Source organism: Homo sapiens, chromosome 6 (assembly GCF_000001405.40).
Source record: "Homo sapiens chromosome 6, GRCh38.p14 Primary Assembly".
Taxonomy (NCBI): Eukaryota; Metazoa; Chordata; class Mammalia; order Primates; family Hominidae; genus Homo; species Homo sapiens.
The window spans coordinates 15388547-15401818 of NC_000006.12; the positions used below are offsets into that span (position 1 = coordinate 15388547).

Genomic DNA, 13272 nt, shown 5'->3' on the forward strand with positions numbered 1-13272 from the left:
GATGAGGAGAGAAACATGAGCTATTTTATAATATATTATAAAATATATATATATAATTTTTCTACAACAAACTATAATATAAAATATATAAATATTTTATAATATTTTATATTCGCCAGTGACATCCCATTCTTGATTATAAACCGGCAAGGCCAAACCTGTACCCTGCCATTGACATCCAAGGAGAGCTGTCTCTTGTGTTTCATGGTAACTTATGCCCCGCATGCTTTCAGACCCCGTAGCTTCTCTCCCTGACCTGTTACTAGTGTTCTTGCTTCATTTATGCTTTGGAGCTAATGGCTGGTTCAGCTCTTTCTGTGTATACACAGAAAGGTTGTCTTCCTGTGTGATCTGCCCTGCCCTTGTCATCTGGGTAATCCTTAACTGAGTCCCTGTTTTCTTTCTGCAGTTAGGTGGGTGCCTGTTCATGCTTGGTACTGCCATCTTGGTGACGGGGAAGGCCACGTGTGGAGGCTCCCAGGCTAGCTTCTGGTGGTCTCTGAAGTGGTAGTCTGCTTTTAGCTTTCCATGGCTCTCAAAGTTATGCTGCCATGTGTTACATGAAGGCAGTCCAAGGTCTCCATTTTGCAATCATTTAACTGTCTTTTATATTTAATCAATTTATTTAACTGTTTGTTTTTATTTTTTCTGTTGCCCAGGCTGTAGTGCAGTGACACGATCTCAGCTCACTGCAGCTTGCGTGCACCGCCCCCAGCAACCCTCCCACCTCAGCCGCCTGAGTGGATGGGACTATAGGCACGTGTCACCGCCTGGATGATTTTTAAATGTTTTGGTAGAGATGGGGTGTCACTGTATTGCCCAGGCTGGAACACTGTTATTTTTGATAGTCTGCTTCCATCCCATGTGATTGGGGTTTTCACCAAGGGACCCATGCTTTTGAATGCTTATTTGAAAAATAGCATCTTGCCTCCTTTGAGAGTGAATTTAGAAGAATGCATCTAGAGTGATCTGTTCCCTAGGGGCTCCCCCAGCAGTGTACCCTCCATGAGATGACTTTGTTCCTAGTGTCATTTGAAAGGGCCTTCCAGTTTGCTCAGTTGGAAAGTGTTACAGAGTTTTAAAGGGTGAGCTGGAAGGCTCTCAGCTGGCACTTTCTGAATCCCTCTGAGGAAAATGTTGGCAAACTCTTCACTCTGCCTGAACTCTTTTTATAAATGGAGAAGCCAGGAGTTGGGAAACTACCACACAAAGTGAGGTCGAACCCTCTGTGGAAACGTGTCATTATCCTAGCTAAGACAGTGGACTATTTTATGGTAATATGATGGTATGGACCCCCTCCCACCCTTTGATGTTTTGATGTTTCAGAGAGCCCTTCAGTTCATCTTCCTGCTACCAAAAATAGAAGTGTGTAGTGCAGCAATTTACAGTGTATTTCTATTTTTAACTGGAGAGACTTTTTTCCTAGAGATGCACATGGCTTTTAGTTTCCTTCTTTGACAACTTAAATGAGGAGGGCGGTGCTTGAGTGCTTTATTCAACAGGTGTCCCACCTTCTAAGGAAAGTCCACTTTTTTCACCCCCTGCCTCCTGCCCTTCCCTGTTTCAGAGAACAAGTTTCCACAGTAAGGAGGAGGAACTTGCCTTTGATTTATTCTCATATTTGTTGTCATCTGTCCACTTGCATTTCAGTCTGATGAGAAACCCAATGTGAGTGCGCCATGGAGCTCGAGAGGTTTCCATGCTCCTGAGCTGTCTGACTGCAGAGCCTATAGCCACTTCTGCCTAGTCCCCAGAGAAGCCTAGATATGGAGAAGAACCCAACAGTGCTTGTTGGTGTGGGGTTCTCTATCCGTTCATCGCCGCACTGCCGCACACTCAGGTCAAGCAGGGACGTCCTTCTTAGCTCTGTCCACGTTGTGCAGCCCATGCTTGGTGCTTCTAGCCTTCTGGGGTCTCCCTTTATGGACGAATTCCAAGGGAATAGGTTAAGATTGCCATCAAGTGGCTGTTCTTGGTAGTGGATGTTGACATCCCTGCTGGCCGATTTCTTAGCCCCTCTGTGAGAAACTCTGTGCAAGGGATTGCCTGTCCTTTTGTGGGGGTAGGCAGTTGTTGACAGAGCTCAGGTCATCTCTGGGAACGCAAGCTGGGCCTTCTCATGTGTGCTCTGTAAAACTGAAGGAAGACTGGGTTGTCCTTGGATCCATGAATACAGACCATCAGAGATTTCCTGGAGAGAATGGCTGGGCATCTACCCTCCTGCCAGCTCAGGTCCAGTAGGCCGCAGTCCTCCAGCTCTGCTAGTGGAAATTGTTGAAGGATCACACTGTCATCCCTGTAAGTATGTCCCAGGGTCCCACCAAGGGTTCAGAAAACCGACAAACTTGATACCACCATCTGTTTGGTTTGTTGTTTTCCGTCTCAGAAAATGGGATACTAATTTTTTTTCCTCAGAGGTGGTATTCTTACGATGAATGCAGTTGATTTATTTCAGGTTCTTAGTGCCTGGAAGAATGTAAACATTTAAAAGGGCGATCATTATTGAGGTTGTAGATATACAGTACCCCGTGACTTCCTATTTGTGCTGTAGCTTTGTCATGAAGCAGGACACCTAAGGGACGGTTTTCAAGTTGGTTTGCCCCCTTCTAGGTTCTGAATGCCAATGTCTTGTAATCAGGCCTCACCCTAGGGCTTGGCGAGCTGAGACTGCTGCGGCCCTGACAAGCATGGAAGGAAGGATTGCCTCTCTAGTTTTCCCCAGCAAGGCATCCTCAGTGGTGTTGGTGAAAGCTGCCCTGTAGGCGTAGTCGGTGTTAGGTTTGTATAGGAGGGGTACCCCACAGACTATTGGGTTCTGAAGTCTCTGAGGAGCCCTAGCAGAGAGTTTCAGAGCCAGCATGTGGCATGTAATGGAGGCTAGATCTGTGCCAGCTGGGTCAGTGGGGAGGCCTGAGACAGACAGAGGGGAGAAAGTGACTGTGGGAGAGCATCCGATGGGAACAAGCTCTAAGTTAGGGTCAACAAAAGAAAATTCTTAAGGCCTATCTATTTTAGGCAGCTTTTTAGAAATGATAAAGGCTGTGTTATGCAACCATTCACTTTGCAATCTGTCAAATCATATTAAACCAGAATTCCTGGACTGTAGCCATCTCAAGCAATATTGAATGCATCAAAAATTTGATATGTTGGAATGGGCACTGACATTGGATCGTAATTCTTGTTCTACCAGTAACTGGGTGTCTAGGAGCAAGGCATGCCTTCACTGGCATCCTCCTTATGTAAAACAAAACACTAGATCTCTTTGTCTCATTTGGTTTTGTTTCAGTGGTGAGTGGCTTTGGGGTGTTGAAGGCATGCTCCTGCTCTCCCACTTTGGTGGCTCTATCATGCTTTTGGGTCAGGGAAGCATTTGGATGCTTTTGCAGAATGTGGAGGGAAGCGAATGAGAAGTATTCTGGAGGAAATGTGCCCTTCATGGCTACTGACCCTGTCCTTTGGTGTGTGAAGGCACCAGTGCAGTGATCCCAGAGTGGTGTGTGTGTGTGTGTGTGTGTGTGTGTGTGTGTGTGTGCGTGTCTGGAGGTGGCAAAATGTGAGTCCAACTTGGCCTAGGTTTTAGTGCCACTTTGTCCAGAGTATTAGTTGATGATTGCTGTCCTTCCTTTACTGTCAAGCCACGTTAAGGTGGCCTAAAACCATTTCTAATAAAAATCACCCTTTGGGATATTCGTTTGTATACGAAGTTTTCCTTACAGTTTTTAGTTTTCTGAATAAGCCTGGGGCTCTTTAACAGTTCCAATCTCTATTTCCCCTTCTCCCCTCCCCTACAAGCTAGACTGATTACCACCTCGAGCCATCTGCTGCTAAATTTAAGGTGATTTGTCAGCCTGCTGCTGCATTTGCCCCCTGAAAAGGATTCACCTTCTGTCCGACTTGCCCTGTTTATGGGGGAGGTGGTGAGGAGGGGGTTCTAAGCTTGTAACAGGGGACGACAGAGGGATGAGGGACTGCTGCAGACATGTTGGTCAGCATGGTCAGCAGTATAGGTCATTGCTACCCATTAGAACTGTGTGTGATGTTGGAAACGTTCTGTGTCTGTGCTGTCCTATATAGTAGCCACTAGCTACCTGTGATGCTTGAACTTTTGGAGCTTTGCTGTTGTGATTAAGAGACTTTTTTTTTTTTTTTTTTTGAGTCAGGGTTTCGCTTTGTTGCCCAGGCTGCTGGAGTGTAGTGGTGCGGTCTTCGCTCATTGTAACCTCCACCTCCCAGGTTCAAGTAATTCTCATGCCTCATCCTCCCAGGTAGCGGGGGTTACAGGCGCCCACCATCATGACTGGCTAATTTTTGTATTTTTAGTAGAGATGGGGTTTCACCATGTTGGCCAGACTGGTCTCGAACTCCTGACCTCAAGTGATCTGCCAACCTCTGCCTCCCAAAGTGCTGGGATTGTAGGCGTGAGCCACCATGCCTGGCCAAGAGACTGAATTTTGTGTTTGATTTAGTTAATGTAAAATTAAAAAGCCATGCGTGGATAGAGGCTATCAGTGCAGCCATAGAGGCAGGATACGCATGAAATGGTGGTGAAATTCTTCCTGTGTATCCCTATGCTCTGTTCTTGCTTTTGGCAGGAAGTCTTTCTGGGTATTCTTTCAGCTATCCTCATGGTGTGTTATGTAGACAATTCTGACAAAGTTAAAAAAATTGATATTTTACTCAAATGCCTTTTAGTCTTTTGGGCAATGTTAGAATATGTTTGCCCATGGTATCTGTGCCACTATAATGAGAAGATAATAAACTACAGCCTAGCAATTTATTGCTGAGTTCAAAATTATCTTTGTCTACCTTTGTCATTTACCTTATGTAGGTTTTCCCTTAGCTCCACGTAAATAATGTTGGTAGCTCCATCTCATTTCCATCATTGAGTAATTCTCTTGTGATTGACTCTACTTCTGTGCTGTTGACACAGCCAGTTTCCCTGTGATACCATGTAAATTTTAAAATTGCCTTTCACCATATTACTAAAGAAAGTCATCTGAATTGTGGAAAAATTCAAGATTTCAGAAAACTGTAAAAGATTGCCACTGGAGAGAATACCATAAATGATGTTCCATATTTATCGTTGCAGCACTTGGGTTATTTCTGGTCTTCTCCATGATGTATGAAGCTTTTAAGGAAAATGCCAGGAAGAATATACACGAAATTGTTAACAGTGATTACTGGTATATTGGGACTTGGATGATTTCACTGCGTAAATAAGAGGAGGAGGATTCTAGGTAGTTTTGACATTTATTTAAATGTTTAGTAACAGAATGAGGTTACGTTAGCAGGATATAAAAGGCACATATTTTGAGAAAGACGCAAAACTGCTTTAGTTACAGAAACAAAATCAGCCTCCAAACAAAAAAACAAAAACTGTAAAATTGTAATTAATAAAGGCCCAAGTATCTAGAAAACATCGTATGTCTAGATTTCTGCTTGTTAAATTCAGTGCTCGTGAAATTATATTTCATCTGAAAATCTGAAGATGAGGTCTTCTACTTCCGAGGAATTTCTCATTTTAATCAGTGAGTGCTGAGATCTCATAATTTATTGTAAAGTATATGAGCTATGTCTAGTCTAATAATTTCAAACATAAAGAGAGTTCTTTGACACATTTGCCTTTCCCAGAGAATGTTGAATGTTAGGTGCTTTGTATGTAGGGTGGGACTTCCCAGATAAGAGCACCTCAGGCTTACGCAGCCCTGGATTGGCCTTGAGACACAGCTTACTCTTTGACAGCATAAATGCAATGCAGCATTGGAGGGTTATTGAGATGAGCAAGGCGAATGCAGTGGCTCATGCTCATAATCCCAGCACTTTGTGCGGCTGGGGTGCCTCGGGAGGATCGCTTCAGGCCTGGGCAGCTTGGCGAAACACCATCTTCACAAAAAATATAAAAAATTAGCTGGGTGTGGTGGCGCCTACCTGTAGTACAGCTACTTGGGAGGTTGAGGTGGGAGGATTGGTTGAGCCCGGAAGGTCGACGCTGTAGTGAACCTAGATTGCGCTACTTGACTGCAGCGTGGGACACAGAGCAAGACCCTGTCTCAAAGCAAAACAAAAGATGAACAAGACTAAATCTTCTTCTTGAAGAAACCTGACAGTTTGGTAAATGTTACCTTTGTATGTTTTGAAATTGTACTGGAATAACACCTGTCAAATGGAAAGAGGAGCAGGTGCTCTCTAGGCAGAGGAGAGAATAGTCAGAAAAGGGAACAGCATGTGCAAAGGCCTCAAAGCTCCAAGGGTCAAGTAGTGGAGAGAATGTGTCAGCTGCCACACATGCAGGACTCAACCCAGCTACCCCAGCGGCTTCATGCAGTAATTCAGAACCAAAGCATTGCTAATCGGTCTATTGCATGGCCCAGGAAACCGACGTAGAATAATTCCTTTTTTTTTTTTTTTGGAAATGGACATAGAATTTAAACCAGTCAAAGAAGCGACAAAATAATTAAAACAAGCTACATAGAAATTTTTGCTTCTGTCATTAATTTGTTGTATTAACCAACAAACTAATTATTAGAAGCAAATCGTTGCTTCTGTTATTGGTTTGTTAGTATTAATTTCTAGAAATTACTGGATTACAGATTTGTTAACCTCCATTTCCAGGTTGCTCTTTTGAAAGATTTTATCAGTTAATCACACTAGCAGCATATGAGAGTACTACTTTTGTCAGAGTCAGAAATTCGAAAAGGTGATTACTCACTCTTCAGTTTTGACCTATCAGCCCTTTGTTTCAATGCTTTTTTGGGGGGTGGTGGGGGCACGGAGTTTTTGCTCTTGTCGCCCAGGCTGGAGTGCAGTGGTATGATCTCAGCTCACCGCAACCTCCGGGAGTCCTGAGTAGTTGGGACTACAGGCGTGCACCACTGTGCCCGGCTAAGTTTTTGTATTTTTAGCAGAGATGGGATTTCATCGTGTTAGCCAGGATGGTCTCGATCTCCTGACCTTGTGATCCACCTGCCTCAGCCTCTCAAAGTGCTGGGATTACAGGTGTGAGCCACCATGCTTGGCCTAATTTTGTGTTTTTAGTAGAGATGGGATTTCTTCGTGTTGGTCAGACTGGTCTCGAACTCCTGACCTCAGGTAATCTGCCCACATCGGCCTCCCAAAGTGCTGTGATTACAGGCATGAGCCACCGCTCCCAGCTCTGTCACCAGGCTGGAGTGCAGTGGCGAGATCTCAGCTCACTGCAGTGTTTGTCTCTTGGGTGCAAGTGCTTCCCCTGCCTCAGCCTCCCGAGTAGCTGGGACTACAGGTGTGCACCACCATGCCTGGCTAATTTGTTGTACTTTAGTAGAGACAGGGTTTCATCATGTTGGCCAGGATGGTCTTAATCTCCTGACCTTGTGACCTGCCCGCCTTGGCCTCCCTAAGTGCTGGGATTACAGGCTTGAGCCACCGCAGGTGGCCTCAGTGCTTTTAATATACAGTTTTCCTTTCTTCACTATTCCTAAGTAGGTAAACAGCTTTTTTGTGATTCTGGTTCAATTTTACTTTATACTATTGAGTAATGTTTTCAAAATATTCTGAAAAAGGTTGATCATGTTGTTTGACTTGGCATTATTTCTGTGTTCACCTTTTAAAATTCATTAACCGGATCACCTTCAAATATGTTAAGTACATTTTATTATGTGTTTCTTTTTCCAGCCAAAAAGCCAACAATATATATTGAACCAAAATTTGAGTGTTTTATTACCATGAATACATGTAGGTAGCCCTGTATGTTTACAGTGTAGCACAAACCCTTTTACTTGTGTAATTAATGCCTCCAACACCAGTGTTGTCCTTATTTCCGTTTAACAGGTGAGGAAACTGAGGCAGAAGTCTTATGATTTTTCTTAATCATTCTTAATCATAGCTATGTGTACTATGATCCACTAAGGTTTTTAGTGCAAGGTGTTTATCAAATAAGTCAGTATTTTTTAATTTAAAAAATTCATGTAGAATACAGTAGTCCGCCCATATCCATGGGTGATACATTTCAATACCCTCCGTGTATGCCTGAAACTGTCGCTATTACCAAACCCTGTATATACTGTGTTTTTTGCTTATACATAAATACTGTACAGTGCAGAGCATTCACGTCCTGGGCAGGATAGTTCAAGGTTTCAGCATGCTACACAAAATGGTGTGCAATTTAAAAGTTATGAATTGTTTATTTTGGGGATTTTTAAATTTAATATTCTCAGACCTTGGTTGACCATGGCTGACTGAAACCTTGGAAATCTAAAATCCGGATAAGGAGGGCTACAGTGTTGTCTTTTTTGATAGCTTCTGAATTGGAACAACTACTTTAATTGTAGCCTTAACAACCCAGTTAGTTTCACGAGTTTGCATACCATCACCCAGTCCGGGTCACCCTACTATGTTCTTGTAATTATTGGTATTATTTTATAATTGTACAGTGTGGCCTTGTTGACATGTTAGCTATCGGGCCAGCCACATGCATTACAAAGTTCAGCACTGTTGGTGTTTCAGGAATTACCAAGCCTTCTTGGAAAGCATTCAAGCCAGACTGTGTGTGTACCTAATTCTGGTTGGTATAGTGCCAGTGTATTAACTTTTATTTAAATAAAATTCCAACAGGTAACATTTATTATTACTATACTGCTGTCACAGAGTGCCCACACTTTAATGATGTTTTTGAAAGTCAAATATTAGCACAGTAGATCCCCTTTCTGCATTAATTTTTATCACACCCTATGTGATATGGTCAATACTACGTAATTTCATCCATATAACACAGAAATATCATTACAAATACATGGCTGATGCTGTATGATCATTACAATTCTGTATTATGTGAAATTCTCTGGCACCATAACCTTGTACTCTCTTCTATCATACGACAATCCACACCACCCTACCCCTCCTTTGCGATTAGTAGTTTTGGGGAAATTATTAATAGCGTGGTACTGAAATACCAAGGCACCAACTGGGGTTGGTCTTGGGGTTGAGGTGATAATTAGGTGGATGGCAGCCATGAACCTGGGTGTCTGCATAGAATTACTGTGAATATGAGATCCCATCTGAAAATTCTGACTTCTCCTGAATTAGAGTTAGTAGAGTTCCTTGGTCTCTCTTGTGACATGTTATAGAAGGTCTTTAAACATTTTGAGATTCCAGTGGTAACATTACTGGTGCAAAATCAAAAGTTGACACCTGCTTTGGAAACTGATTTGCCATTCAACTTGTAAATTTGAACATTTGCATATCCAAGGATATCTACCACTTCCAGTCCCAAATATTATCTAAGAGAAACTCTAGTGCATGATTTCCAGGAGACTTGCAGAGAGGAATTGCAACATGGTTCATGATAGCAATAAACTAGAAGCGCCTTAGATGCCCTTGGACATGAGAATCATGGTGGAATACCTACCATTCATCAGTTGTGTAGTATTATAAATACTCCATTGTGTAATAATGAAAATGGATAGGCAAGCGATATAATAAGCAAGGCCACGGATGGATCTTAGTAACTTGATGTTGAGTTGGAAAAAACCCAATTCCCATTGGAACCTGTTTTGTAAAGTTTATAATCAAATGCAGTGAAACAAAATGCTATTTATATATGTTTATGTTATAATATTAAAAAGTTAGCACATAGGCAAGGCTTTAGGTTATGTTTGAGTAGTTTGGTTTGGCAGCGGGTTCACAGATATTCTTTATATCCTTAAAAATTAAAGTGGATTGATTATTCAGAGGACTTTGGTTTAAGATTTATGACTTGCTCTGATATTTCACTGTTGAAACTTAGATGGTGGTGCCTTCAGCCTATTAATGAACATGGATGGAGCAAAGAAAAGTTCTTCCCCAGTCTTTCCGCCCTCTGCTCTTTCTTGTCTTTAAATATTGTAAGTTGTGTTGTTATTCCTAAATTGAATCCATTTCTTAGTGTTATTCTTGGTCTTCCAGAGGATGCTGTGAGTCTAATAGGGTAGTTTGCATGTTTCTTCTTTAGTAGGGGACCAACATTTCATGTAAACAGTCTAAAACTTATGGCTATTTACAACGGAGAGTTTTGTTAAGTCTCCTTCCTGGCCTGACAGACACAGGACTGACTCGCATGTACTGTGTTTTAGGAAATATTGCCTGCATGATCAGGAAGTAATGACGATGGTCAGGCTTTTCTTATTTCTTAAAATTTAAATACCCGTTTCTCTTTAATTGACTAGAATAGGAGGAAGCAGTGGAGATAGGAAAGGGGCAGATAGTGTTTTATTAGTGCTGATGCCTGTGTGCACTCTGAGTGTTTGAGTGACAGAACTGGGGGTGTTCAGGAAAACCACTAATCATACGTGATTCTGAAACTTCATTTCTGGCCAACTGTTTATGTCTCGGCGTTTCTACTTTTCTTACCAACCTTGCTGAGAATTAGCATAATCAGAATATCTGCCTCAGGTCTCCTTTCCAATTCTCTGCTTTGGGTGCTGTTGATCATTGAAGCAGCCAAAAGACATGTCCCAGTAGAAGGAAGAGGAAAAAGGCCAAATAGTCATCCCCCGAATGTCCTTTAATTGACTCTGTATGACTTACGCTGTAGTGGGGTGCATTCCAAACACTTGTTCACTGTTAACAGGAACGTGCTGCACTGTAGAGCACTAAATAAGGGTCTGCTCTGGGGGCTCACCCTGGCAGCCATTGGAGAGCACCTCTTCTCCAGCCTTCTATGTTCTGTAGGGAATTGTATATTGAGGTTACCCCACCCCTTCTTCCCCAGTGCCACTGGGTTCTCGGATAGCCTCCTGTCTGTTGAGACATAGGAGCTACCTCTGTGACCTTTGCTAAGAGACAAACTTGTTTTTAGCCACAGTTTCATCATCTATGAAGTGGGGGAATTGTAGTAGAGTATCTCTGAGGCCCTATGTATAATTATGATTTTAAAGTGGTGGATATCAACTAGACACTAAGGAGGACCATCATCTACCTTCGTGATGTCTGTGTGTGTGTGTGTGTTTATGTACATGTATATATATATTTATGTTTATATATTTTTGATGTAAGAAGTTGTGGCATGTTCATGAGCTTTAATTATTTAGGAAACAAGAGTTGGCCATTGTGGAGAGAATACCCGCTAGCCTGGGTGACTTCACTCCTGAGCAAAGTTGACATCTACCTTCAGGGTTTTTGTGAGGTATAAATAAGTTACTGTGTGTGAAGTATTAGAACCCAGAAGGTCCTCGTTAGATGGTTCCACAACTAGGAAAGAAGAAACTGAAAGTATTAGTAAGGCATGTTTCCATTTCCTCTGGATGCATCTGAGGAAAACTTCCAGTGCCATGTGGACTTGGCCACCATCTTCCTCCCATTGGAAGGGCATGAAGAGAAGCATGTGGTAGTGTTGAGAGCATGTGTTTTGGACATTATCATTGCTGGTTGAAGTTCAAAGAAAGGCTTCAAGAAAATTGACTTTAAAAATCAAAAAGCTATAACATATGAAAGGAGATGTGTACTCCAGTTGTCTGAGGCCAGGGAGCTGGCCAGCCCTCAGTTGGACTCCTGCCTTTTTCACCCCTCCCAGCAGCTGCCAGACCACAGAGCCAGTTCTGTGAAAGATCCTCAAGAAACAATGAGAGAAAACAGCTTCTGTTTGATTAGATTAGATCAATTTATGTGCCTCGGGGAGGGGCCTGCGCAGGGCAGGGGGAGGGGTGCCCCTCTGTTGTTGGTGGGGGCAGCGGTGGCCCATGCGGTCACTTCATAAGTAATGAGGCTCCGTGGAAGCTGGAATCAGAGTAAGGGGGAGGGCGGGCTGGAGGAGGAGCATGTGGAAAGAGATTTCTGCAGTCTGTCTGGAGAGCTGCCCAGGTTTCCCAGCCAAAAAAACAAATAAAAATAAATAAAAGGCAAGTGCTGAATGACACAGATTATGATATTAAAAAGGGATGCCATTGAAACTGCGCCCTGGAGTCCGCTGTCTGTGGGGGTGGGGTGTGCTTGGCAATGGGGTGGGGGCATCTGACCGGCTGGGGACACAAAAGTGTGCACAATTAAACTGTGAATGTCCCCCTCCCCCCATATGTCAGAAATTCTATACTTCGGATTTGTCTGCATTGCAGGTTGGGGAAATGGCAGGATGAAAAGCTAGTGACTCTTTTCCTTTTTCTCATTTTAATTTATCAGGGTGGGGGGAGCCAGCCGGAGACCCCTCCTCTTTGGTGTTCGATTCCCTCCCTTGCACATAAATAACCTTCTCTCCTGGCTGCCTCCCCTCCCCCTCGGCCCCATTGCTGTTCTGGCCGTCCTATTGCCGCGCGGAATCTGCACTGCCGCTTGCTTATTACGTACAGGGGAGGATTGTTGACAAGTGCTCCGGAGCCTGCCTCACTGCGCTCTTCCTCCCTCCCTCCCTCTGTCCTTCTTCCTCTCTGTCTCTCTGCAATGATCCGGCTCTGAGGATGGCTGCTCCACGGGTCTGTCAGGTGCAGTTTTTGGTGGCTTATCTTGAGGAACCTGGGATAGAAGGTCTGTTCCTATAAATAAAAGACAAACCAAATAGCTCTAGATTTGTTTCAGGCTGGTATGGCTTTTGTTGGAGAAATAGGCCTTTGTGGGTTTCCCTGCTGGGGTCCTGATTAAATCCATTGTGGATGGCAAGGTGCTATATATATATATATATATGAGAGACTATGTAAAAAGTGTTGCAATTTGCTTAATATTAATATTCTTTTAGCTTTGATATCCTCCCTAGGGGCAATGGTGGCTCCTGCAAAGGCACTGTGGAAATTTACAAGAGAGAATTAATGTCGCTCTTAAAGCATTAAGCTCTGTTGACCATTTTGGCCAAAGCTGCAGTTTCAATCAGGCTTGTATGACTTTAGACATTTCTCTGGAGACTGAATGCCATCCAGCTATAGCTGGTCCCTTTTATTTTATTACCAATTTATCTGATCATTTCCCAGCATTTAAAAATAAATGTTTGATTAAAGTTAATTAGTTCATCCTCACCATAGCTCTGGTTTCCTTCATAAACAGCATGTTTGCTTTCATTTCCATTAATCCTTTCTTTTTCTTCCTCCATCATCTTTCCTTGAAAGATGGAGGAAACTGAGGCATGCAAATAGATCCTGAGACCTGAAGTGGTTCTGGATTGAGACCTTTAAACTTCGAGTGCTCTTGATTCTTCTCCCGAATTTCGTGCATTAATTCATGTCTGTATTACTGTCTGTAAACACAGATGAATTTCAGGAACCTTCAATGTTTGGTGCCTCAAATCTTAGCAGATTCCATGGCCACATTCCTATAGTGCTGCTTTCTGTACTGCTT

General features: G+C 42.9%; 1 protein-coding gene across 20 annotated transcripts in view, besides 1 other annotated feature; it reads left to right on the forward strand.

Moving 5' to 3' along the window:
• Positions 1–13272, forward strand: part of JARID2 (jumonji and AT-rich interaction domain containing 2) — a 275974-nt gene that overhangs the window by 142478 nt on the left and 120224 nt on the right. For 4 of the 20 annotated variants that reach the window (XM_024446424.2, XM_047418739.1, XM_047418740.1 and 1 more), the window contains exon 1: positions 12367–12471. The exons of the other annotated variants lie outside the window; for them this stretch is intronic. In XM_024446424.2, the coding sequence (XP_024302192.1) occupies positions 12405–12471 (67 nt within the window). In that variant the 5' untranslated portion in view covers positions 12367–12404. Of the gene's footprint in view, positions 1–12366; positions 12472–13272 lie in introns of those variants that run through there. 20 annotated transcript variants of the gene reach the window in all.
• Positions 1677–2036: an enhancer, noted in NCBI's record as "active region_24080". NCBI's record gives its function as "activates an Ori minimal core promoter by ATAC-STARR-seq in GM12878 lymphoblastoid cells {active_cell/tissue: GM12878}" and the evidence as "EXISTENCE:reporter gene assay evidence [ECO:0000049][PMID:35858748]".